At 34.8% G+C, this 24,750-nt stretch overlaps 1 long non-coding RNA gene and 1 pseudogene across 4 annotated transcripts in view, besides 1 other annotated feature; both read right to left on the bottom strand.

Moving 5' to 3' along the window:
• The window catches only part of LOC105375369 (uncharacterized), a 36,563-nt gene extending 12,358 nt beyond the window's left edge, over positions 1 to 24,205 (bottom strand). The window contains exons 1-4 of one of the 4 annotated variants that reach the window (XR_927704.3): positions 24,026 to 24,205; positions 6,216 to 6,315; positions 3,019 to 3,098; positions 839 to 972 (exon numbers count right to left, since the gene is read on the bottom strand). This is a non-coding gene — a long non-coding RNA (uncharacterized LOC105375369). Of the gene's footprint in view, positions 1 to 838; positions 973 to 2,740; positions 2,936 to 3,018; positions 3,099 to 6,215; positions 6,579 to 24,025 lie in introns of those variants that run through there. The other 3 variants (XR_001744958.1, XR_001744959.2, XR_001744957.2) reach the window with 3 other exon arrangements.
• Positions 4,587 to 4,705, bottom strand: RNA5SP234 (RNA, 5S ribosomal pseudogene 234; annotated as a pseudogene).
• Positions 12,007 to 12,634: an enhancer, noted in NCBI's record as "OCT4-NANOG hESC enhancer chr7:79275496-79276123 (GRCh37/hg19 assembly coordinates)". NCBI's record gives its function as "activates a minimal SCP1, AML or CMV promoter by ChIP-STARR-seq in primed H9 embryonic stem cells {active_cell/tissue: H9 hESC(primed)}" and the evidence as "EXISTENCE:reporter gene assay evidence [ECO:0000049][PMID:30033119]".
• Positions 24,206 to 24,750: the final 545 nt, after the last annotated feature.

Here is a 24,750-nt window from a genome sequence, read left to right as displayed (position 1 = left end):
TATTTGAAAGTGTATCCTAACTCTTTGTACCTAAAGAAATGTGCCATTTTGTTTTGTGTGGTTTTTACTTTTTACTAATTACTTTACTAATTTTACTAATTACTTTTTATTTTATTTTTTATTTAATTTTATTAATTACTTTTTACTAATTCACTTTTTACTAATTTACTAATTACTTTATTTAAAGTATCATATCACATTGTGTGATCTACCTCATTCTTTTAAACTATAATGCATTGTTTCATTGACTATGCCACAATCTGTTTAGCCATTTTACCAAAGCCAATTCACTGAAAGGCATTTTGCCAACTAATCAATTTGTCAAATAAACATTTTGCAATGTTTACTTTTTACATTTTAACTATTTATGTTGTAACAATGATTTTATTTCCTTCTTTTTAAAGGCTAAATAGTATTTCATTGTGTATAGATAGCACATTTTCTTTCTCCATTCATCTGTTGACAGATACAGGCTGATTCCATAACTCAGGTAATTTGAACAATGCTTTAATGAACATGGCGGTGCAGATATCGCTTTACATAATGATTTTATGTCCTTTGAATGTACACCCAACTGTGGAATTGCTGGATCATACAATAATTCTTTATGCAGTTATAATTTGTCAATTTCCAATGCAATAAAATTTAATAATTTAAAAATTACTTATAGTACTTACACAAATTTGAGGACGTAAGATAATTTTGTCAGCTTTTGCAGATTTCTGCAAAATTTAAGTTGAGTTATTTAGAAATGAAAAATATTTCACTTTTCAGAAGGTGGTGATCATGTTCTAAATATATGCCCTTCTGGCTTCCCTTCTTTGTGCCCCTCGCTCACCTGTAACCCGAGTATCACCATCCTGGGATGATTCTTTCCTTCATTTTTGTCCTAGCAGCAAGTTTTCTCTGTGTTCTGATTCTTTTCACTGAAGCTTCAAGTTGCTAAAGCACAAATGGACATTCCTTATAATTCTGTCAAGAAAATAAAAATAAAAAATGTGTCAACTATCCAAAACAAAATGTTTGTTTAAATTTTTCATGCAATTTAAATTATTGTAAACTTTAAAAATATTTGTCTTAATTTAAATTTGCCAAATTGATTTTTCTATGAATTGACTTTTGCAATTTGGCTATTTGGTGAATTAGCTTGTCATAATTGGCTTGAGTGAATTACCTTCAGCAATTGCCCACTTTCCCTGTTAATAGAAGCCTAGTGTCTGTTTTTTATTTTCCAGTGGGCTTTTGGAAACAAAACGTAATAATATTCTGCCTCATTTTTCTCCAAAATGGCTTTTGCACGCCGATAGGAGTATATATAAGGTATCAATTTCACCAAACCTTTACATATGCTAGTTATTATAAAAATTAGTGTTTTATTATTGTTGTTTTTGTTTCCCTGTATTAGGAAGATTAATAATACTTGCATTTCTAGTTTGTAACTCGTGTTGGGTGTGGAGCTTTTGGCAATTTTTTTCTTTTTGTGGGATTTGGGGGCTTAATGTTAATTATTTTAAGGGTTTTTGTGTTGTTAAATTTGCTGATAATGTTATTTACCATATAGTAGTTTACTTTTGTCAATTAAAATATTTTACTTCAGAGATCTTGCTTCATTTTTGGAGCATAAGATGGCCTTCCTTGCCTTAAAATCATAAACATTTTTTATTGTATTCTGCCAATATTTTTCCTTAATGTTCAGTAAATGTGGAAGTTATAGTTTAGAAAGATATGAGATAGAGACTTCATTCAAACTTGATTTTTTAAATTATCTAAATTTATAAGATATTTTGGCATTTGATAGAGTAAGTCCCCATCTTTTTTCATTTCCAAAGCTGGTCTTGCTAAGCTGACATACTGATTATAGAATCAACTTGGCAAGTCCCATAAAAGATCTTCAGAACAACTTTGATTAAAATTGTAGTACATATATAGGTTGATTTGAAAACTAAATGTGTACCATGTTTATTATTTATGAATATGGGCTAGATCTAATTTTTCTTTATTGTATTTTTTAAAGTTTTCTCAACATATGTCTTGTCCATTTCTGTTTTAGTACATGCATACTTTATTGATTTTTGTTGCTGTTTTAAAGGGATTTTTCTTTTTTGCATTTTTATAATTAATTATTAATTTTTATAGGAGAATTTGGGGTTTTTATATATTTAATCTTATATCCTTTTATTTTGTGGTACTTTCTTAAATGGCCCTGAATTTATTGGAAATACTTCTACTGCTTCATAAGAATTTATTTTGCTTGCTGAAGGTTTTAGATAGAATCACTAAATCAGGTATTATTTCTTTCTATTCCTTGTATGTCAAATACTTATATCAGGAACAAGATGTAAATTTTAAAAACACCTTTCTGGTGTCTATTGAAATGACAGTGGTGCTTTTCTCTTGAATGTTCTACTGTGTCCAGTATAAAATGAATACTCTATCCAAGCTTTGGGTAATGTGTCCAATACTGCCTGATAGAAGGAGAAGGGTCATTGCAACCCAAATCATATAAAATTGATCTTATTTTCACAAAGCTCCTAATGTTCTAAGGTATATTAATAATGTTTTGGTTGCAAATGGTAGATACCCAATTTCTACTCAAGAGAAAGAAAAATTTGGTAATAAAATGGGATTCTGCATAGGTTTCAAGAGGAGGATGCAACCTTAGAATGAAACAAAGGCCTACATTGATATTAGAAAACTCAAATTGTTTTCCATTTTCCTTACTTCTCCTCTTTGTGAGTACCTGTTGTATTATTAATCTTTCATTGCAAACTAACTTCTGTTTCTTAGATCTTGTAGCAGAAAATGGCTACCACATACAGCTCCCCAGTGTATATGTGATAGTCCAGGTGCCCACATAATTTCCAAGGGCTAAAATTCCCAGAGAAGAGACCTTATGACTCTATTTGAGTAAGATGCTTGCCATTCGACCAGTCGTCTATGGACAGAGAAAAGGGCACAAATTAGTATCACCACAGCTACTGCGGCAACATGCAGGTGGAAATAAAAAGGGGAACTTACCAGACAATCCTTCTGGGCCCACGATTCAAAACCTGTCCATTACACAGGAAAGACAGACACCTTTTCTTGTGTGCTGTGTTCTGTGATAAGGAAAATGTGGAGTCATTAGAAATATCCAGTGCAGAGAGAAGAGGCCTTATTTTTGTTTAGGGAAAAGTGCACACCTCCCAGTTGAAGTAATATTTCCCCTAAGCCTTTGAGAGTAAGTAGCCATGCAGATGTCCTAGCTGGTGATCAGCCTGGATTTTTGCAGTAGAACCTCTAATTTCATTCAAGTGAAATTTGTTTTTCGAGTGAAATTAGAAAACTTTGTTCTGATAAAGCTCTAGAATTAATTTTTCTCTAATGCAGTAATTCTCAAACAAACTTTAATGTGTATATAATATTTTGGGGTAGTCTTGCTAAAATGCAGATTCTGTTTTTAGAGGTCTACAGTGGGAATTTCGCATGTCTGCAAGCTACTAAGTGCTGCTGTTAGTGCAGATGCACAGACTACACTTTGCGTTACAAGTTCTCGTGTATTTTAAGGAAAGATTTACATTTTGGAGATTAACATGAGGCTTCATGCCTTAAATCAGAAGGAATATTCACCATGTAATGAGTATTGGATGAATGAATCAAGTGATAACAGAATGAAGCATAATCAGAATTTCGCTTTTTTAAAGTAAAATGTCAAGTATCTTAAAGAGAGAAAATTGAATAATTGCAGTTGATGCTATGGCATATAAACTAGCTTTTCTTTAACATCTGGGGGACCCACTGTAAATAAAGTAATTTTTTATACCGTGTTGTTTTTATGTCTGATTTATGGCCGTTTGGTGCTTTGCAGTTATCTTCAGTGTCCTTTAGCCATCTTCTGAGGCAAAATATATAATCCTCTGGAGTTCATACAAACACCTACTGCAATTCCCCTGTAATTTCTTAGCTGAATTACTGAGCATGGGAAGCTAATTTACACACACACACACACACACACACACACACACACACACTTGCATTCAAAGGTCAATGTTAAACAAATTAAGTAACAAAATCATAGTATCTTCCCATTACATACTGTGAAGTTCTCTGTGTAAAATAAGACTTGTAATAGAGTAATATTTTTAAAGTGTTTTAAACCAATAAATCAAAACCAATTTATAGTTTAAGCCTGATGCAGTAAGTTTATTTTTTAGAAAATAGACTCCAAGCTAAAGATTTGCATGCAAGTTTTTTACTGGAAAATACTCCTGGTGGGGCAGGAGGAGGACACCCACAAAGAAGCGAAAGAAGGAGAGTTGGGCAAAGAGAGAAGATGAACTGTGCTACAGTTACAAAAGCGACTTTAGCAGAGCCTCAGTGATAGCTCTGAACCTGGCCGGTCAGAGATGTTCTGGATTGAAAAAAAATAGTAAACTATTGTTTCCTGCTCCTTGTCTGAAAGCAATTGTCTGGGAAGGATATAGCTGTGACATCAACTGCCAGTACTCCCAGAGATTGGGGTAGTGATTGTTCCATCCTGAATTAAGATCTGAGCCAGACACCACAGCATCCATCGCAGAATGCCTCTTGCACCTTACATGTTCATCATCTCTCTTCTGCCCAGTCAAGATACTCTTCTCCCATGCAAGTACTAACTAGGCCCATCCCTGCTTAGCTTCTGAGATCAAATGAGATTTGGTGTGTTCAGGGTGCTATGGCTGTGGGAAATTCTCTTCTCTATTAGCACCTCTGCTGGCCTAGGTTACTTACATGATGGGTAATCCATGCCCTTATTCCTGAGGGCTGTGAGTCCTGGTACTTTGTCTTTCTCAGGCTGTGACTGCTGCATTGGTTAATTAATATCTAAATTGGCCAGGACAATACCAAATGATGCCACAGTAGCTTGACTGCATACTATGAACTTTTCATCCTACCCCCGTTTTATCACAGCAGCCTTGCTTCCTCCTGATGGTTAGTGTTATTTGCTTTGGCCAGAATAATTAGTCCACTCCCTGCTAGCTTCTTGTTGACCAAATGGCAACTATAGCTTAAAGTTTAGTGAGATTCTTGCTGTGTCCCCTGGTAGAAATATTCTTTCCCTGGTATTCTGTATGCATATAAACATTAGAGCTCAGAATTGTGGTGATGGAAAGCACATTTGTGCCCACATGGGTCATTGCAAGTACAACTAAGAGGGACTATTCCAACTTCTACGCTTTGTTTCCTAATATATAAAATAGGATGAGTGTAGCCAAGAGTCAGATGCCCAGGGTTGCTTGTCTTTTGCTGTAAAGTGTCTTCTCTGTGTGATATGATATTAGATAGGATTCTATACTAATGACTCAAGTACTCTATAACCTCTGTGTGATATTAGATAGGATTCTATACTAATGACTCAAGTACTCTATAACCTCTGTGTGATATGATATTAGATAGGATTCTATACTAATGACTCAAGTACTCTATAACCTCTGTGTGATATATTAGATAGGATTCTATACTAATGACTCAAATACTCTATTAGCCCTGGAATAGTAGTTTGACTTGAATCAAAACACATTACCATTATGAACTTGTCTTCCCTGTAGACAGGAAAGATACATTCATAACACTAATATATTTTCATTCAAGTCAAACTGAACTGCTGCCCCCTCCCGAGTGGAAGTGGTTTAATGAGACCAATTTGCCACAAAATATCTCGAGTCTTCTTGGGAAACAATGCTGAATTATGGCCTCAGCTTTGATCTCTGTTGCTGGCATGTTGGAAATTTGGTAGCAAAAGTAGTTAAATTAGGATTGGTGAGTGAAAACCCATTATGTTGGGCCATTTCCTGCTACTATGACTATTCTGGTCACAAGTCCATCATGCCAGCAATTGAATGGCTGATATCAGAGGCAGGCTAAGAACTAATAGCCAAATCACTTTCTATGTGATCGTTGAGTTCTTCTTACATAGACAATGCAATGTAGGAGGCCCTAGTATATAATACACAGAGCTTCACATTCCAGTCTTATCAGTTCATTCACAGCTTATTACCCAGAGCTTGTTGTCTCTAATCTTTCAAACTTTCTCTTTCCAGGCCCGTGAACAATCAACCAAGCCCTTACATATTTCCCATGAGATGTTTTAAATTCTAAACTCAGGCCACTTTTCTAATAAAGTGGATGACCACATACAACTTGTAACCTCTATTCATTGGGATAATTTTCCCTCCTCACCGTCTTTCAGCACTAACCCTGCAATAGTAGTAGCAGTCCACTTAGGGCTTCAGTTTGTATACCAAACTGACCTATTCATAAACCTCGTACAGCATTTCTCCTTTTCTGCCAGCAGGTCTAGAAGGAAACACAAAACCACAGTTGTGAGCTGAGAAAGATGCACTAGTGTAACAATGGTAGATGACATGACAGTCTGTTTTCTTGTGCCCAAGTATTCAAGTAAAATATGTCTTCAACTCAGTGCAGATACATTAAAATAGCCCAAGTTCTATACTAATGAATATTTCAATCTACAAATTACATAGCATTAATATCCAAAAATAACTTAATTTATAATTAATGACTTAAATGCATCACTCTCTTTTAATTAAAAGGAATATATTATTGCACATTAGCTCCAATTTACAAGGAAAATGCATTCAGCGAAGAAGATTTCTCTCAATTGCTTTTAAAATAATAAAGAGAATTTATAAATAATTATGAGTTAAATGTAGCAGCAGCAAGTTTTGAAAACATAACTTTTACTAATGTGAATTTTCCTGATGTTCTTTTCATTGGAATTTAATTTTAGGACAAATTGAAGCTTTCAAATAGCACCATCTGGTCATCTATTAGACGGTGACATACAATACAGCAGTTGCAAAATGAAAAGGAAATGAAGCAATGTTAACAAGTAAAGGCAAAATTGTTTTAATTTCCCAAGATGTCTGAATTGATAGAAGACTGATTTAGTGACTGTACAAGTAGGAGCATCATATTCTATACCAGAGCCATAATAAACCTTAAATTCATGTTTCAGTGGCAGAAGTGAAAGGTGTACTATACAGTAATTCTGAGTGCCTAAGAATACAGCAGAATCCGACAGTGTACCAGGAGTTGTTTTACACTATGAACACTGTGTTTTTAATGTATAGGTAAGCCATAACCAAACTGATAAGCCATTTGTTAAATTATTTACAGTCTACACGTCTGGGTGGGGAATGGGTAGAGGTGATGGCAACCAGTAATTTTGGTAACTTTTACCTAAAATCTTTTTGTTTACATATCTATGAGTTGACAGTGGGAGCACAAGAGACAATACAACTTGGCTGAAAAAAATGCCATATAAGGTATAATAACAGTTTGTGGAACAAGTCTGCTCACTGAAGCATAAGTGGGTCAGTAATTGCTCCTGGCTATATAATGAAAATTTTTGCAATGAATTAACTAAACCCTTTCCAAATAGTATCTTTTAAAAATGTTCTTACAGAAAACTTCAAAATACACAAATGTAGCAACAGAAGTAGAGTGAAGTTCTATTTCTCCACTCTCCAGTGTCAGCAGTTATCAACTTTTGAGCCATCTGGTTTTATCTGTACACAACTCACTTCCTCATACCCCTGATTATTTTAAAGCAAATTGAAAGTATTACACCTTTTCATGAATAAATATTTCAGTGTAAATCTCTAAAACATAATGCCTCTTTTCTACACATAGCACCACCAACATAACACCTGAAAATTAACAGTAAGTCCACATTATAATCAAATATCCAGGGTTTACATTTCGTAACTTTTATAACTTTTGTTTGTCTGCCATTTGCAATCCTAGAAAGATCTGTGGATTACACTTAGTTAATATATCTCATACGTTTCTTTTACCAGAGTTTCACCTTCCATTATATTATTTTTCTGGCAATCTTTTATGGAAGAAATACTGTAGTTAGCCCCAGATTTTGCTCATTACATTACCGTGGTGCTACTTAACACATTCTTCTGCCTCCCATATTTTCTGTAGTTACTATGGAGGCAGGATAAGATTTAGTTTTTTGTGTGTTTTGTTTTGCAAGGCTATTTCATAGTTGGTCATGGTCATTCCCATTAGAAGGGATATATTGCCTGCTTTACTCTGTTTTTGTGCTATTATCAGTCATTGATGATAATTTCTTGGGTCCATTAATTAATTAGAGATTGCAAAATGATGATATAATTCTAATATTTCTTAATTTTTATTTGGATACTTCTATAAGAAGAAACTTTCTTTTATCAACTCTTTGGTCAACTGGAGTGCAAATAGCATAGAAAACACAGTGAATGGTGTTTTCTCTCTGTTTATTGGTTTTAAAATAATAAGTCAATTTCTTCTCATCATTCAAAGATGAGGATTTTTTACAATAAAGGTTTTACTATGCATGCATGGATTTAAACATGCGTGATGTTTTTTAATCCATTGCAGTATTCTTTATGTTAACAATCAATGACCCCATTTTTGACGATTGGGAAAAACTTTGGCTTCTGTGCCCTTTTGGCATGACACCAGTAGCCTTTGATAGACACATTTCTTGGTAGCCTAACAGTATACTCCAGGCTCATGTAGTATCTTTCCTGCTTTGACTATTTTTTAAATAATTTTAAAAATTATTTTAAGTTTGTGTGAAAATGTATTTAGAGACCATAGCCTGAGTGAAAGAATGCTCATTGCTATGGGGTTCATTATTATTCCCTGGCCTCTGAAGCGAAGACACCTAGAGTATGTATACCATGTTATTTATAAAGTACATGAGTTCATGAGTTTATACTGATACTTATAATTCAAATTCAAGTTAACAGAGTTTTATTTAACTTCATTGATCTTACATCTGTATCTCTTTTTCTCCAGGCCAAATATTCTACAGTTTTGTGACACCAAAATTTACGAACTTGCTTTATCTTCTAAACTGCATACAAAAGAGTCTCAGAATAACACTCGCCCTATCACCATTAATATGCTTATGAAGAATTCAATTCTTAATTTTTTTCCTTTATATATTTCCCACAAGAGATGTGTAGTCCAGAACTACATTTTAGTATCCTTAGATTAGTTCCATTCTGCATAGAAATGAAACTAACTCTATACATTTTTAGGCTAATCTGTTCCACTGTACTTTCAATTTTGGGAGACATTTTTAACAATGTTGTTTTATACTTTTATAATTTTCATAGTTCCAAATTAAGATCTACCAGAGTATATCCAAAGAAGTCTAGATCCATACAAATGGTGTTCCCTCCAGCTTATTTATACCTTTAAACTATTAGTAACTTTTTGATAAAAAAGGTTTATCTTTTCGAATTTTAAAATATAACTATATATTTTACACAAAGTGCTATTTATATATCCTATACTAATTTTTTACACACATACAATGCCTTTATGTACTACCCTTAATCCCTCACTCTTGCTTTTCCTTTGATTTTATTTATTGATACTTTGTGCCATGAGAAATATTTAAATTAGGTGCTAACTTTTTTATCTCCTTTGACACCCTCTTATCATTATCTGATTTAAAGTAATATCTTATTTCTCCAAAATAATATCTGAAAGTCAGTTATTGAGCATCTTATTTTTCACATAATTTCCTCATTCTCCCTCAGTGGTTAATAATTGTACAATGTACATGGTGAGAATGTATAGCCATTCTCTACAACACTGATTTTCTTATAATCCATTATTTTATTTTGATATACAGGTAAATATATTCCATATCAACACTGGTTCATTTGTTGATGGCTCTTCAATCATTTAGGTTACCTAAACTCATTATTAGATGACTCATGAATAGTAACAATGTTGTAGAAAATACCTATAGAAGATGGCACGTTCTAAAAGGTTGCTTGTGGCCTCCATATTTGAAGTATTTGGGGTTGAATGTATAATCCCCAGTTCACATTTTTCTTTTCTTGAGTATCTTAAATAATGTCCTACTTTTGTCTAACGTAGCGTGTTGCTTTGAAAAGGTCTGATGACAATTTGTACTTTTTTTTTTTTGCAATTTGTCTTTTGTCTGGATGTCCAAAATATTTTCTTTCTTTTTTTAAGTCCAATACATTTAAGAAAATATATCTCGATGAAGAAGACCCGCAAACTCTGAGCAGATCTGCAGAAAGAGAGGACTGAGAATACACAGAGGGAGGATGAAGATGCTGGGCTGAACGGGGAGGAATCTGGGAACCCTGCATGGGGCTGCCAAGCACCAAGGCTTGTTTGCAGCCCCCAGTGGCTCCTGGTGAAGGGATGAGCTGAATAGGTGAGGAGTGGCCCACTCTCATCAGAGACCTCTGGAATCCTGGCTGAAGGGGACCCCATGATCCCACTGACATCTGAGCTGGCAGGGAAAGCTGCTTGGAGAAGTGGCAGGGACAGGACTCCAGCCTGTGAGGAGCCTAGAAGATTTGGTGTGGGAATAGCAGCAGTGGAGCACAGGCAGTGATGCCCATCCCAAGGTGTGTCACACTCCTCTAGGTGTCTTTGGCCTTTGTTGACTGTCATACCAGGTCAGAGCAGGGCTGTCTTGCTCATGGGACAGGGTCAATCTGATCTCAGCACCACCATATCTGCTGGCCTCTTCTGGGTCCCCTCCCTGGCCATACCTGTTTGCAGTGCAGCCTTGGATCCTCAGCCAGGGTGCTTTCCAGAATCTGCCACTATAGCTTCTTAGCTAGTAGACTCCACTTATCAGATAACTTCAGCAGACGGGCCCCCACTGACATGCACTCCCCAGCAGCCTCCCCGCAACACTTAGCCAGCACACACTCACCTGTGGTGCACGTGTGGACAGACTCCTGTTTCACTGTCACCAGTACATGTGTGTACCTCACCACCACAGCCCTGCCTTCACCAATGTACCCACTTGCATAGACTCTGGCCACCAGCTGCCATCGCCAGTGCATGTAAGTGCAGACCCTGCTGCCACCACCCAACAAAGTGCTTTTGCCGGTACCTCCCCCGCCCTTGGTGTGTTGTTTCCAGAAGACTGAGAGCACCTTGACTCCTCCAGCGCAGCAGGTGGCTAACCTCAAAGGACCAGAGAACAAAGTCGTGGGCCTGATCCAACCCCCCAGGTTAGAACATATAGCCCAGGAGTGCTGACCTGAGCCCGGGACCCCTGAAATTGTCCAGAAACGAAGCCAGTTGACTGACTTAAACCACAAACCCTCAAGGACATCATGAATATAAAATCAAAAAGTCCCATCAAAAGGACATTAACTTCAAATATTAAAGGAAAATCAGCCTACACACATAATAAAGAACCAGTGCAAGAACTCTGGCAACTCAAAAGCCAGGATGTCTTCTTATCTCCAGAAAGCTACACTAGCTCCCCAGGAATGCTTCTTAGCCAGGTGAAATGGCTGAAATTACATACTTAAAATTCAGAATCTGGATGGCAACGAAGATCATTAAAATTCAGCAGAAAGTTGAAACCACTCAAAGGAATCTAGAGAATCCAGTAAAATGATACAAGAGATGAAACTCAAAATAGCTATTTTAAGAAAGAAGCAAAGTAACCTAACAGAGATTGAAAACTCACTATAAGAATTACAAATGGAAGCATTTACAGCAGAATTAACCAATCTGAGGAAAGAATCTCAAAGCTCAAAGACCAGTTTTTCAAATCAACTTAATCAGACAAAAATAAATAAAAAAGAATTGACCAAAACTTCTGAAAATTATGGGATTTTATTAAGAGAGCAAACCTATGATTTATTGGTGTCCCTGAACGAGGGGGAAAGAGAGCAAGCAACTTGGAAAACTTTTTGAAGGTATTGACCAATAAAATTTCCCTAATCTCACTAGAGAGAAGGTTGCTTCTTTTTTTTTTCTTTTTTTCTATTTCCTCTGGGTGTTGAAGGTTGTTTCAACATTCAAATTTAGGAAATTCAGAAAACTCCACAAGATATTATATAAGATGACTATGTCCAACACACATAATCATCAGACTCTTTATGGTCAATGCAAAAGTAAAAAACATTAATGGCAGCTAGAGAGAAAGGGTGGGTCACCTCCAAAGGAACCCCATCAGGCTAACAGTGGACCTTTCAGCAGAAACTGTACCAACCAGAAGAGATTGAAGGCCTATATTTAGCATTATTAAAGAAAATAAACTCTAAACAAGAATTTCATATCCATTCAAACTAAGCTTCGTAAGTGAAAATGAATTCATTACTATCATACCTGCCTTACAAGAGGTCCTTAAGCAAGTTCAAAACATGGAAATGAAAGATTGTTACCAGCCACCACAAAAGCACACTTAAGTACATAGACCATTTACACTACAAAGCAACTACATAATCAAGTCTACATAACAACACAATGACAGGACCAAATATGCGCATATCCATATTAACCTTGAACGTAAATAGGCTAAACACCTCACTTACAAGACATAGAATAGCAAGTTGGATGAAGAAGCAAGAACCAAGTTATACTATCTTCAAGAGACTCATCTCACATGCAATGACACCGATAGGATCAAAGTAAAGAGGTGGAGAAAAATCTACCAAGCAAATGTGAAACAAACAAACAAACAAAAAGGACGAGTTACTATTTTAATTTCAGACAAAACAAACTTTAAACCAACAATGATCATGAAGGGCAAGAAAGGGCACCACATGGTAATAAAATGTTCAATTTAACAGGAAGACTTAAATATCTTAATTGTATATGACCTTAACACTAGAGCACCCAGATTCATAAAACAAGTTCTTAGAGACCTATGAAGGGACTTAGATAAGCACAAAACAGTAATAGGAAACTTCAACACCCCACTGACAGCATTAGACAGATCACTGAGAGAAAACTAACAAAGATGTTCAGGATCTAATTTGACATTTGACTAAATTGACCTAGCAGACATCTAAAGAACACTCCAATGAACTGTAAAATAACATACGATTTTCTCAACAGCATGTGGCACACACATTAAAACTGATCACACACTTGGCCATAAAGCAATTCTCAAAAAATTAAAAAAATCCAAAATCATACCAACCACACTCACAGATCACAGCACAATAAAACTAGTAGTCAATACTAAGAAGATCTCTCAAAAACATACAATTACCTGAAAATTAACCTGCTCCTGAATGACTTTTAGGTAAATAGTAAAATTAAGGTAGAAACTGAGAAATTCTTTGTAATTTATTAGAACAAAAGTACAACATAGCAGAGTCTTTGGGGCACAGCTAAAGCAGTAAGAGGAAAGTTTATAATGTTAAATGCTCACATCAGAAAGTTAGAAAGATCTCAAATTTACAACCTAAAATCACAACCAGAGGAAATAGAAAAAAAAAAAAATAGAAGAAGAAAAAAAATAAACCCAGCCCTAGAGCTAGCAGAAGAAAATAACCAAAATCAGCTGAATTTAATCAAATGGAGACACAAAAAACCATCCAAACGATCAACAAAACCAAAAGATTGTCTTTTGAAGGAATAAATAAGATTAATAGACTGCTAGCTAAAGTAACAAAGAAAAAAAAAAAGAGAGGAGATCCAAATAAACGCAGTCAGAAATGACAAAAAGAACATTACTACCAACCCCTTAGAAATACAGAAAATCCCTCAGAGACTATAGAAAATCCCTCAGTGACTATTATGTACACCTCTATGTACCCAAAGTAGAAAACCTACAAGAAATTGATAAGTTTCTAGAAACATACAACCTCCTAAGAGTTAACCAGGAAGAAAATGAAACCCTAAAGAGACTAATAATGAGTATGGAAATCAAATCAATAATAAAAATCCCACCAACCAGAAAAAGCCCTGGGACCAGATTGATTAACAGCCAAATTCTATCAGATGTATAAAGAAGAACTGGTTCCAATTTTACTGAAAATATTTCAAAAAATTGAGGAGAGACTCCTCTTTAACTCACTATATGAGGCCAAGATCATTCTGATACCAAAACCTGAAGGACACAACAAAGAAACAAAGCTTCAGGTGAATATCCCTGATGATCACAGATGCAAACATTCTCAACAAAATACTAGCGAGTGAAACCCAGTAGCACATCAGAAAGCTAATCCACCATGTTGAAGTAGGCTTTATTCCTGGGATGAAAGGTTGGTTCAATATACTCAAATATATAATTGTTATTCATTACATAAAGAGAACTAAAAACAAAAAACACATGATGATCTCAATAGACACAGAAAAAGCTTTTAATAAAATTCAGCATCCCTTCATGTTAAAAATCCTCAACAAACTAGGCATCAAAGGGACACACCTGAAAATAATAAAAGCCATCTATGACAAACTTATAGCCAACATCATTCCCCTTGAGAGCCCAAATAAGACAGGATGCCCACTATTGCAACATCTATTCAACACAGTATAATACAATAGTTCTAACAAGAGCAATCAGGTAAGAGAAAGAAATAAAAGGCATCCAAAAAGGAAGAGAGGAAGTAAAACTCTCTCTCTTCATAGACCATAGGATTTTATATCTAGAAAATCCCATAGTCTCTCTCTTTCTGAAAGAGTCCTATATCTGATAAACAACTTAAAGCTTCAAAATAGAAAATAAATGGAAAAAAATCAGTACCATTTCTACACACCAATAATGTCCAAGCTGAGAGCCAAATCAAGGAGCGCTCCCATTCACAGTAGCCACCTAAAAAGGAAAATACCTAGAAATAAAGCTAACTAAGGAGCTGAAAGATCTGTACAAGGAGAACTACAAAATGCTGCTAAAAGAAATCAGAGACAACACCAACATATGGAAAAACATTCCATGCTCATGGATAGGAAGAATCAAAATTGTTAAAATGGCCATAGTACCCAAAGCAATTTACAGATTCAATGCTACTTCTATCAAACTACCAAAATCATTTTCACATAATTATAAAAAAACTATTCTAAAATTCACATGGAACTAAAAGAAGAGACTGAATAGCCAACACAATCCTAAGCAAGAAGAACAAAGCCAGAGGCATCACACTACCTGACTTCAAACCATACAGACTACAGTAACCAAAATAGTATGGTATTGGTACAAAAACAAACACATAGACCAATTGAACAATTTAGAGAACCCAGAAATAAAGCTGCACACCTACAATCATTTGAACTTTGACACAGCTGACAAAAATAAGCAATGGGGAAAGGACTCTCTGTTCAATAAATGGTGCTGGGATAACTGACTAGTGGTATGCAGAAAAATGAAACTGTACCCCTACCTTTCACCATATATAAAAATAGACTCCAGATGGATTAAAGATTTAAATGTAAAGCTTAAAACTATAAAACCCTAGAAGAAAACCTAGGAAATACCATCTGGACATAGACCTTGGAAAAAATTTCATGATAAAGACGCCAAAGAGAATTGCAACAAAACCAAAAACAGACAAAAAGGGCTTAATGAAACTAAAGAGCTTCTGCACAGCAAAATAAACTATCATCAGAGTAAACAAACAACCTGAAAAATGAGAGAAAAATATTTGCAAACCGCATTCAACAAAGGTCTAACATCCAGAATCTATAAGAAATTTAAACAAATCAACAAGCAAAAAACAAAACAAAACAAAACAAAAAAACATTAAAAAATGGGCGGCCAGGCACAGTGGCTCACACCTGTAATCCCAGCACTTTGAGAGGCCGAGGCGGGTGGATCACCTGAAGTCAGGAGTTCGAGACCAGCCTGGCCAACGTGGTGAAACTCGGTCTCTACCAAAAATAGAAAATTTGCTGGGCGTGGTAGCACGCGCCTGTAGTCTCAGCTACTCCGGAGGCTGAGGCAACAGAATCGCTTGAACCCAGGAGGCGGAGGTTGCAGTGAGCCGAGATTGTACCACCGCAGTCCAGCCTGGGTGACAGAGCGAGACTCTGTCTCAAAAAAAAAAAGGCAAAGGACACGAACAAACCCTTCTCAAAAGAAAACAAACACATAGCCAAGAAGCATATGAAGAATTGTTCAACATCACTAATCATTAGAGAGATGCAAACCAAAACCACAATGAATTACTATTCCTCACCAGTCAGGATGGCTATTATTAAAAAGTCAAAACATAACAGAACTTTGTCACTTCTCTTTTTTATTTTCTGTTTTTCTTATTTATTCATTCATTTATTTTTTTTTTTGAGATGGAGTCTCGCTCTTGTCACCCAGGCTGGAGTGCAGTGAGGCAATCAAGGCTCACGGCAACCTCCACCTCCCAGGTTCAAGGGATTCTCCTGTGTCGGCCTCCCGAGTAGCTGGGAATACAGGTGCCCACCACTATGCCCGGCTAATTTTTGTATTTGTAGTAGACACGGGGTTTCACCATGTTGGCCAGGCTGGTCTCCAACACCTGACCTCAGGTGATCCGCCCGCCTCAGCCTCCCAAAGTGCTGGGATTACAGGTGTGAGCCACTGCACCTGGCCCATTTTCTGTTTTTCTAATAATCAAATTTTTAACTTTAAAATTTCTAATCCATAATGTTTTTTCATAACTCTTACTCTTTTAATTTCTTCATTTCATTCTGAAACATTGGTTTACAGTTTTTCTGCAAGATGTCATTCAATCTCACTTTCCCTTTTCTTTTAAAATAGTTTGTGTGGAATTTAACCAAGGTACTTTTCTGCCATTATTTTTTAAGTAAAATTAGTTTTCTTATGCTTTTAGGAGTGAGAGACATTCTCAAATAATTTTCTGGTTTTGTAGCTCTGTAACTCTATTAACCTTACTGAAGTAATAAAAAATGTCTGTGTACTTTGTGAGTTCTTTCTCCTCACTTTCCCTCTCCCAACTTTATCTTGATATTCTCTTTCTTTGCTTCTATTATCTTTGTTCTACTGAATTTTTCTTCTCCCAACATTTTCTCTACACATGTGCTTTTTGCTAGAAAAGAGCTTTTGTGTGTTCAAGAGTTCTCAGGGTGCAAACTACTTCCAGGTGTTTTAGACTTTCTGATGATTCCGTGAAGTCTGAAGTCATCTGAAAATTGAAGTCTGTATCCCCCTACCAGTTACACTGTTCATCTCACAATGGCCTGACACCCATTTCACTATGTTCCTGATGACCACTTTGGGGTTTTCCTTTTCTCAGAGCCTCCACTTCCTCCATACAGATTTCAAATGAATCTAGTAGATGTTGGTATTTTTTGCTTAGATTTTGGTAGCACTTCTTTTTGTTGTAGTCATTTTTTCTGAGGTTTGGTCTTTACCATCCTAATTGCTCAGTGTGTTCTATGTGGAAATTTAGGGAGATGAAAACACTACTCCTGGCACCAACATCTCCCCAAAATGCAGCAGAAATATAGTAATTATTACTAACTTTTCAAAATCACATAGTAAATTCCCAGGATATATAGATAGAGCAAGAATTGGCAAAGGAAATAATAAAATTGACATTAGCAGTGATAGACTACATGTTTTATAATGACAGCTTTGGCCCCAGGAAACGATGACTCTATAACAGTGCATTATTTTATATGCACACACACATATACAATGTTGCTAGATAAATGAGCAATAGCAGAAAAACAATGTTTTAAAAAACAAAATAAATAAATTAAATTAAGGAAATATATAAATAGGCCAATACTAGGCTATAATATCTAAAAAGAAAAAATAAATGGCTACTGCAAATGAAAGAATAAATATTAGCTAGTCTTGTAATACATACAGTATCTCAGAAAAAATATGTCTAGGAATTATTAGGAATCTAAGAGCTCTAATCTAAAGCTCCACCTTATGTCTAAGCAATTTTCTTAAGTCTCCCAGTGTGTGCATTATGTTCATTCCTCAGTTTAGCATTATTGTGCATTGAAATCATGTAAAATTAAAATCTTTCATTAATGATATAGAATATCTAAAAGTGTCTTTACCTAACTGCATTGCAAAGAAATATTAGCTAAATATTATAGTTAACTTCAAAATTTCATACAATGCAACACAGTATATTTCTGTGACTTTCAAAATTAGTACCTCACTGTCACTTCTTAATTTCCTTTTCTTTCTCTTTTACTTTCAATTGCTAAATATTGGAGACATAATGTAAGTTAAAATGAGTTGATACAGTGATTGACAAATGGTAGAAGCAGGGCCAGGAAAAAGCATACTGTATGTATGAAGGAACAATTGCAAAAAGGCAGTTTTTTCTGACCCTCAAAATCCTTTACTGTTCAAAACTACTTTGCAAAATAGTTATATAAATTTTATGTTCCTAATATATTCCTTTTCTGGAAGCCAAAAGCACTTTTCCAAAGTTAATATGCACTTTAGATTCAGTCCTCCCATTTGGAATAATGGAAAATAAAACTTAGTGTTAGAAATGACCTTAGAAATCGAGTTGTTTTTCAAATGTTACTAGCAACGTAAGCCTTTCTTAACAAATGAAAATGTTCTGAGAGCACCAGTAAATCAGATGAGAGCAGAACAGCATTAAATGAATTTAACAAGAATGGTTGGAAATCCCCATATTTGATATCACTCAGCACCTTTGGAAGGTATTTGAATAATTCTGGAGAGCATATTAGGGCTTCTTCATAGTTTAGATACCGCACATTTAATTCAACTACTTCATGGCGTAGATGAGAAAGTTGAAGTTAAATGATTTTCCTAAGTAGAACAGTTAATTAGTAGCAGAACTGGTGTTTTAAGTAACTTGAGTCCAATTATGTGCCATTTGCATTATTCATGGTACCCTGAACTTTCCTAGAAAATCTATTAAACACTTTTACTTTTATTTTTCCATTTTGATTATATAACTATGCCTTGGTTTGATTGATGGTTCAGTGTTAATTAAAGTGTTATATAAGTTGAATTATGTAAACAAACTAGTGGAGCTCACAGTTTCCAAAATATCTTAATCTTTGTGAATCAAAGAACTTTATTGACCATATAAAAATCACACAATAATTTCCCTATGTTATAAACTCTGACTCGTTTTATATAAGCAAAGACCAATTATGTAAATTTGCAAGTGTACCTGTAGATAAACAGAAGGTACATTTTAAGGAAGTGGGGGAAAAATAAGGAAAAAGAAACCATGTGGAACAGATTTTGTCAGTAACAACCAAAAGCCTACTGAGACAGTACAATTGTTTAAAATGATGAGTGTCATCTCTTCCTAGTTTCTGTTTTGCATGTGAACTGGTTATTACTTCCTGTGGCTAAATGTCATATATTCTTATGGCAAACATTGGGCCTATAGTAATCTCTAATTATAATCCATATTTAATGTGAAAACAAGAAAAATATATTAACTTACAATATACTTCATGAAAATATAAACTTCTCAGGAAACAAAACATGAAGCACAAATGCTCTAATATTTTTTCTCTGTTTAGGCAAATTTTTATTTTCAAACAAATGACAGTGAGTTGCTCCTCAAAAGGATGGTGCAAAAGTTAAACAGAGATAGCTTTGAAACCTAAGTAGCTGATAATTTCAAAATAAAACATTAGAAAATTGTCATAATTTTAATAATAGTAAAGATAACTAATATCTATTTAACACTTTCTATGGGAAGACCCTGCGCTAGTAATTTATATGCATTTGTCTTATTTCATTAGTATAAATACTTTAGGAAGTAGATACTGTCAACATTTTATAGATGACAAACTAAGGCTCATAGTCAATGAATGTACTACAGTCTTTATAAACATGATTATCAGCATAGAGAGAGATCTGGGTCAAACTGGGTCACAGTTCACATCTGAACTGTGAAACAAAAGACAAGCTATTCCATGTATTTGTTATTAGAATTCCTACTCCAATAATTGGGGTATTGTCTTACAAGATTATTATTAAGAGATTATGTATGGATGAACCTGGCCAACAGAGGCATTAAACATGTTGGAAACAATATGGTACTGCTTTACTATTTTTGTAACTATTGTTTACTACCATAAATATTGTTATACTATTTTATACTCTTCATATTTCTACCATCAAAAATACTTTAATTTTTTAAGATTTTAATTTTCTTTCTTAACATATGACTAAAAGGGCAAAAAGTGCAGTAATCATAATTGTAAGTATTCACTATAAGCTATTTGTTCAGAAATGACATTTCAAAAATGACCTTATTTCCAAACTGAGTCCAGTCTCTTGAGGAATAAGTAGAGTATGTAAGAAGTTCTACTTCACTGATATTCACAGCCCTAGGCCATTTACATACCTAAAAATGTAGGAGACATTGAAACAAATTACTATTTATTTTCCTAAAACTGGCATTTCCTGAAACTAGCTAGTAATCAGTGGCTAATTTAAAAGATAATCACTCTCTACGGTTGACTCGTTTTTAATAGTTTTGGTGGAACCTTCAGAAAAAGGTCACTTACTATGATCCCAAGGAAAAGGTTCTAGGAGCCTAACAATTTCTCCCTTGTGTGAGATTATTCTCCCCATTAACCTTTTAAATGCAATTTCATGAGTTTATTAACAAGAAACAAATCTGTTAAAACTCAAGAGGATTTTTATGACATACGACTTGTCATTTTAAAACATATTAATCTCACTCACCCTACATTACAACCAACCCAAAATCATCTTAGGCAGTTTATTGTATGTGCCATTAGCAAACATAAAATAGAGCTTTATTACCACCACATAATTTAAATGATTTTTTAAAATGTCAATAAACTCTCATCTAATCAGTTTGTTTTCTCTAACACCATTTATTATTAGCACTTGGGATAATATAACACTTGGAATATTGGCCTCTCAATATTTCACTCAAGATCAATCATTATTTAATATTTCCCTGCAGTAGTATAAATCTGATAAACACTTCTTACAAATCACATAGAAATTTATATAAAGTAAATTTTTAATGAGTGAATTAAATCAGTAAATTTGTCTCGGTGATGCTATGTTCAAGTGGTAAGTGTTTTGAACATGGAATAACATAGAAATGCTATTTTTAAAAGGAAAACTTCAGTGTCCATTCATTCTGACAAATACTTATTAAATGCCCAATTGTATTCACCCTTAATTATTCAGCTTCACTTTCTATTGAGTAGTCTGTTTCTAGTTTTCTAAGTCACAATTTATACTTGTCAAAATAATTTCCCCCATTTCTAAACTCCTTGCTACTGTCATATTAATGAACCAATTATTTTTCATCCCCAAAACATTTTCCATATTTAAACTGCATGTCATGTCTCTGGTCTGGGAGGGCAGCACCACCTCATCACTAACTGATGGAATCTTAGATATTCATCAAAGACACTTCAAATAGAGTCCAAAAGTAGTATCTCCCTACATTAAATTGCTAGAATTAAAATAAGGAATACTGAAACACATAAACAAATAAATGTCATTCCCTTTGTTGTCAGAACCTCCCTCACAAGAGTTACAAATTGTATGGAAGAAAAAGGAATACCAGTCGGTGCCTTCCCTGGGGAAATGACTTATATTTTCCCGGCAACTTCAGAGGTGATCACACATTTTAAAGACTTAGGCATATATTTAATAAACACTGATTCAGTGCCTACAATATGCTAACGCATTTCTGGAGAGTTAATGATAAGATAGGCAAATTTACACTCTAATTGGGAAGAGAGATCATACAAAAACAAACAAATAAATGACCATGACAATTTTAGATGACACTAAACCCTACAGAAATAAAAATATATATGATAAAGTGCTGAAATATCATGGTTACCAGAGTTGGAGCAGTCAGGGAAGTCAGCTCAAAGAAGCTGACATTTGAATAAATAAATGTAAAACTAAATAAGAAAAAAAAAAACTGAATGACAGGAACAAACTGTATAGCCAAGTCTGAACTGTTCTTAAAATCTCCACCTTCTTAAAATGGGTGTGCTTTCCAGCTAGCAGGGCTCTGAACTAGATAAGGATTGAAGGTCAGAACCAAGCCCTCAAGGACTTACACATTTCAGGAAGTTCAACCCTGAAAATGGTGACTATGGGATAGATTATTATTTTTTTTAAATTCCTTAAATCATAACACAAATATTTAGTAGTGCCTATTATGTGCAAAATACTGTTCTAGGACTGGCTTAAGATATCACAAACTAAATTGTTCATAGGCTGATATATTCAGCAGAGATTTATTGAACTTCATGTACTTAGCTAGCATTAACAGGATTTTTAAATTAACCTACTCTTCCTGATGATGTAAAAAGCTGTTTTTGACATCCTATCCTTGACATTTTAAAGCAAAAGGTTACATTTCAGAATGATAATGCTCTTGCCTTTTTTTCACCTAAATTTGTCACCAGTCATTTCCCTTAGCGTATATGATGCTGGTGTTATTAACCATTTTGACAATGCTCACAGTTATGACTTGTTCCCAAATGTTTGCCTGAGTCCAGAGAACAGGTTTCAACTACCGGCTACTTAAACAAAATCCTTTTTGAAGGACCATTATGATAATTTTTTAAGTGGTAAGTTTTCCAGCATGCTAAATACTTTCAAAATGAAAACACAATATTTATAAAACAGATCAAAAGTGCTTCAGAAAAATTATTATAGGGCAGTGAGTCAATAAATAATGAAAGCCTATTTCAGAAATACAGCACCTTTCAGCCAAAGTGCTTTAAGTATGGAGATAGCTTCAATCATTCTCTCCAAAGTATAATACACTTTATATCACGGCCATTTATGATGGAAAAAATAAAATGACTGTACCTCACTTAAAACACAAAAGAGTGTGTTAGATGACAAATTGTGATCAGTAAAATGCATCTAGTTTAGGATGGCAATACTCAAGCCAAAAGTTTCATAAAAGTTAATTTCATCCTCAAATCAATTATGAGAATGCAAGTCCAAATTGTACAGTCAGTGTAACTGAAAGTCATGAGGACAGACAAAAAGCTGGCACAAGTTAAAGGCCAATATTCAGCACATTGACTTAGACATATTCTTGTCATAAGTCTCTGTGCATCCAAAGCAGGAAAAAGCAAAGAAAAAGAAAGTCAACAACAATACAAAATACGGTGGTGCCTATGCCTTATGTCTTACATTACTCCTAAGCCCCAAATAAACAGATGAATACACACTGAACTATCGAAATCTGTCTTTTGTCTTTCAACATAAAAATCAAGCCAAAACATGAGTTTGGCTACATGTGAGTTAGACTTCAGAAAGTAAAGGATAATTATTTTAAAAAAGGAAGATCTGTTTGAAAGTAACTTTACTTTTTACATGGTTTCTTTTTATGTATGCTCAGGAGATATGGTTGTTTTGTATGTTTGTTTGAAATTCATGAATAGTTGTATTCTATATAAACAAGAGGTAAATTTCAAAACTAGACATGATGTTATAGAAATCAATCCCATTTTCTTAACTGGTGCTCTAGCAACATGAGAAAACCAATTCAGCATCATACTGTTAAATGTCTCTATGTAGTCATGCTGTGTATTTCACAGATTATATTTTCACCATTATAAATTAACCCCTTTATAATGCCAATATCAATAGTTTACTACTGAGTCCAGATGCTTGTGGAACTATGATTTAAATATTCCATCAATCATTCTAATTATTGATCTACTCTTTCACATATGGATGGAGGATAAATTTAACCTTTCTTTAAAAATAATTTTCTTATATGGAACTGAAAATCTCCATAACTTCAGGACAGCTCAGATTACTATTTGAGATATTTCTATGAATTCTATCAATTAATTTTATATTTTCTTGGCTTTCTTGCTTTGCTCCATTTTTTGTCTTCCTTTAAACTCTCTGACTTTCATTGTGTCATAAATATTGGTCCTCCCCATTGCTTGGGGCATTTTTTTCCTGAAATACTCTTTTTTCTTGTACCAAATATTTATACTTTCTCTTTTCATTTCATAACTGTCTATATACTTCTAAAATCCACTTGCATTCTATATTGCCATCCCTAAAATTTTTCTTCACCTCCAGTTGCACATTTTCTTATTTTATATTTTCAGCGGTTTGCTGACAATTAACTTCTACTTATTCTACAAGTTCCTCAAACATAGTATTTTAACATTTTAAATGAACTCTGCATCTCTTTCTAGTAATGTGGTTGGTTAGATATTTGGACTAAGAAAGAGTAAAATCAATCAAACAAAAACTTCTAATAAGCATTGTTAAGCCATCAAAAACATAATATACCTTCAGGCAGAGACCAGGTGAAGGCAGGCATGAGAAAGAAGCAGAGTACTGGAGCAGCCTGTTATCCTGGGTGCATTTGTCAAAGGCAAAAGGTTTGGTACACAAACCTGCTGGGGGAAGGTAAAAATGGTTTAAACCCAGTGTATGGCCAAAGTGGAGAGCCTTGCAATACAGCAGCCATCCAATAAACCCAGGGCCCTGCCTGCAGTATCCAGACTGTAACATTTGAGCACAGAGTCCTCCAGAGATGGCTAGCCCTTTCTAATATCAACTGCAATGTCAGGGGATTACAAAACCACCCTTAGTCTTGATAATTTGCTAGAATTCATAGAACACACTAGAAGCTATTATACTCACAGTTAGAGTTTATTACAGAGAAAAGATACAGATTAAAATTAGGCAAATGAAGAATTTCATAGGGTAAAATCCAGGAGGGTTCCAAACATGGAGTATTTCCTGTCCTGTCTCTGTGGAGTGAGAGCACAAAACAATGCATTGCAGCTTCCATATTCAAACCTTTTATTGGGGCCCCATTGCATAGGTATGATGGACTAATTAATTGCCCATGTGGTTGATCTTAGCTTTCAGGTCAACTGATACCACATGACCGGGATACCACATGATAACACATGGCCCAGCTTTAAGTCACATTATTGGTCTTTCTGTCATAGCCAGCCCACAACCTAGGCCTATGGGTTATGGTTCACCCCATCCTTAACATCTGG

The sequence above is a fragment of the Homo sapiens genome, chromosome 7 (assembly GCF_000001405.40).
Source record: "Homo sapiens chromosome 7, GRCh38.p14 Primary Assembly".
Classification (NCBI taxonomy): domain Eukaryota; kingdom Metazoa; phylum Chordata; class Mammalia; order Primates; family Hominidae; genus Homo; species Homo sapiens.
Note: the sequence above shows the minus strand (reverse complement) of the source record. Positions and strands in the feature narration are given on the sequence as shown.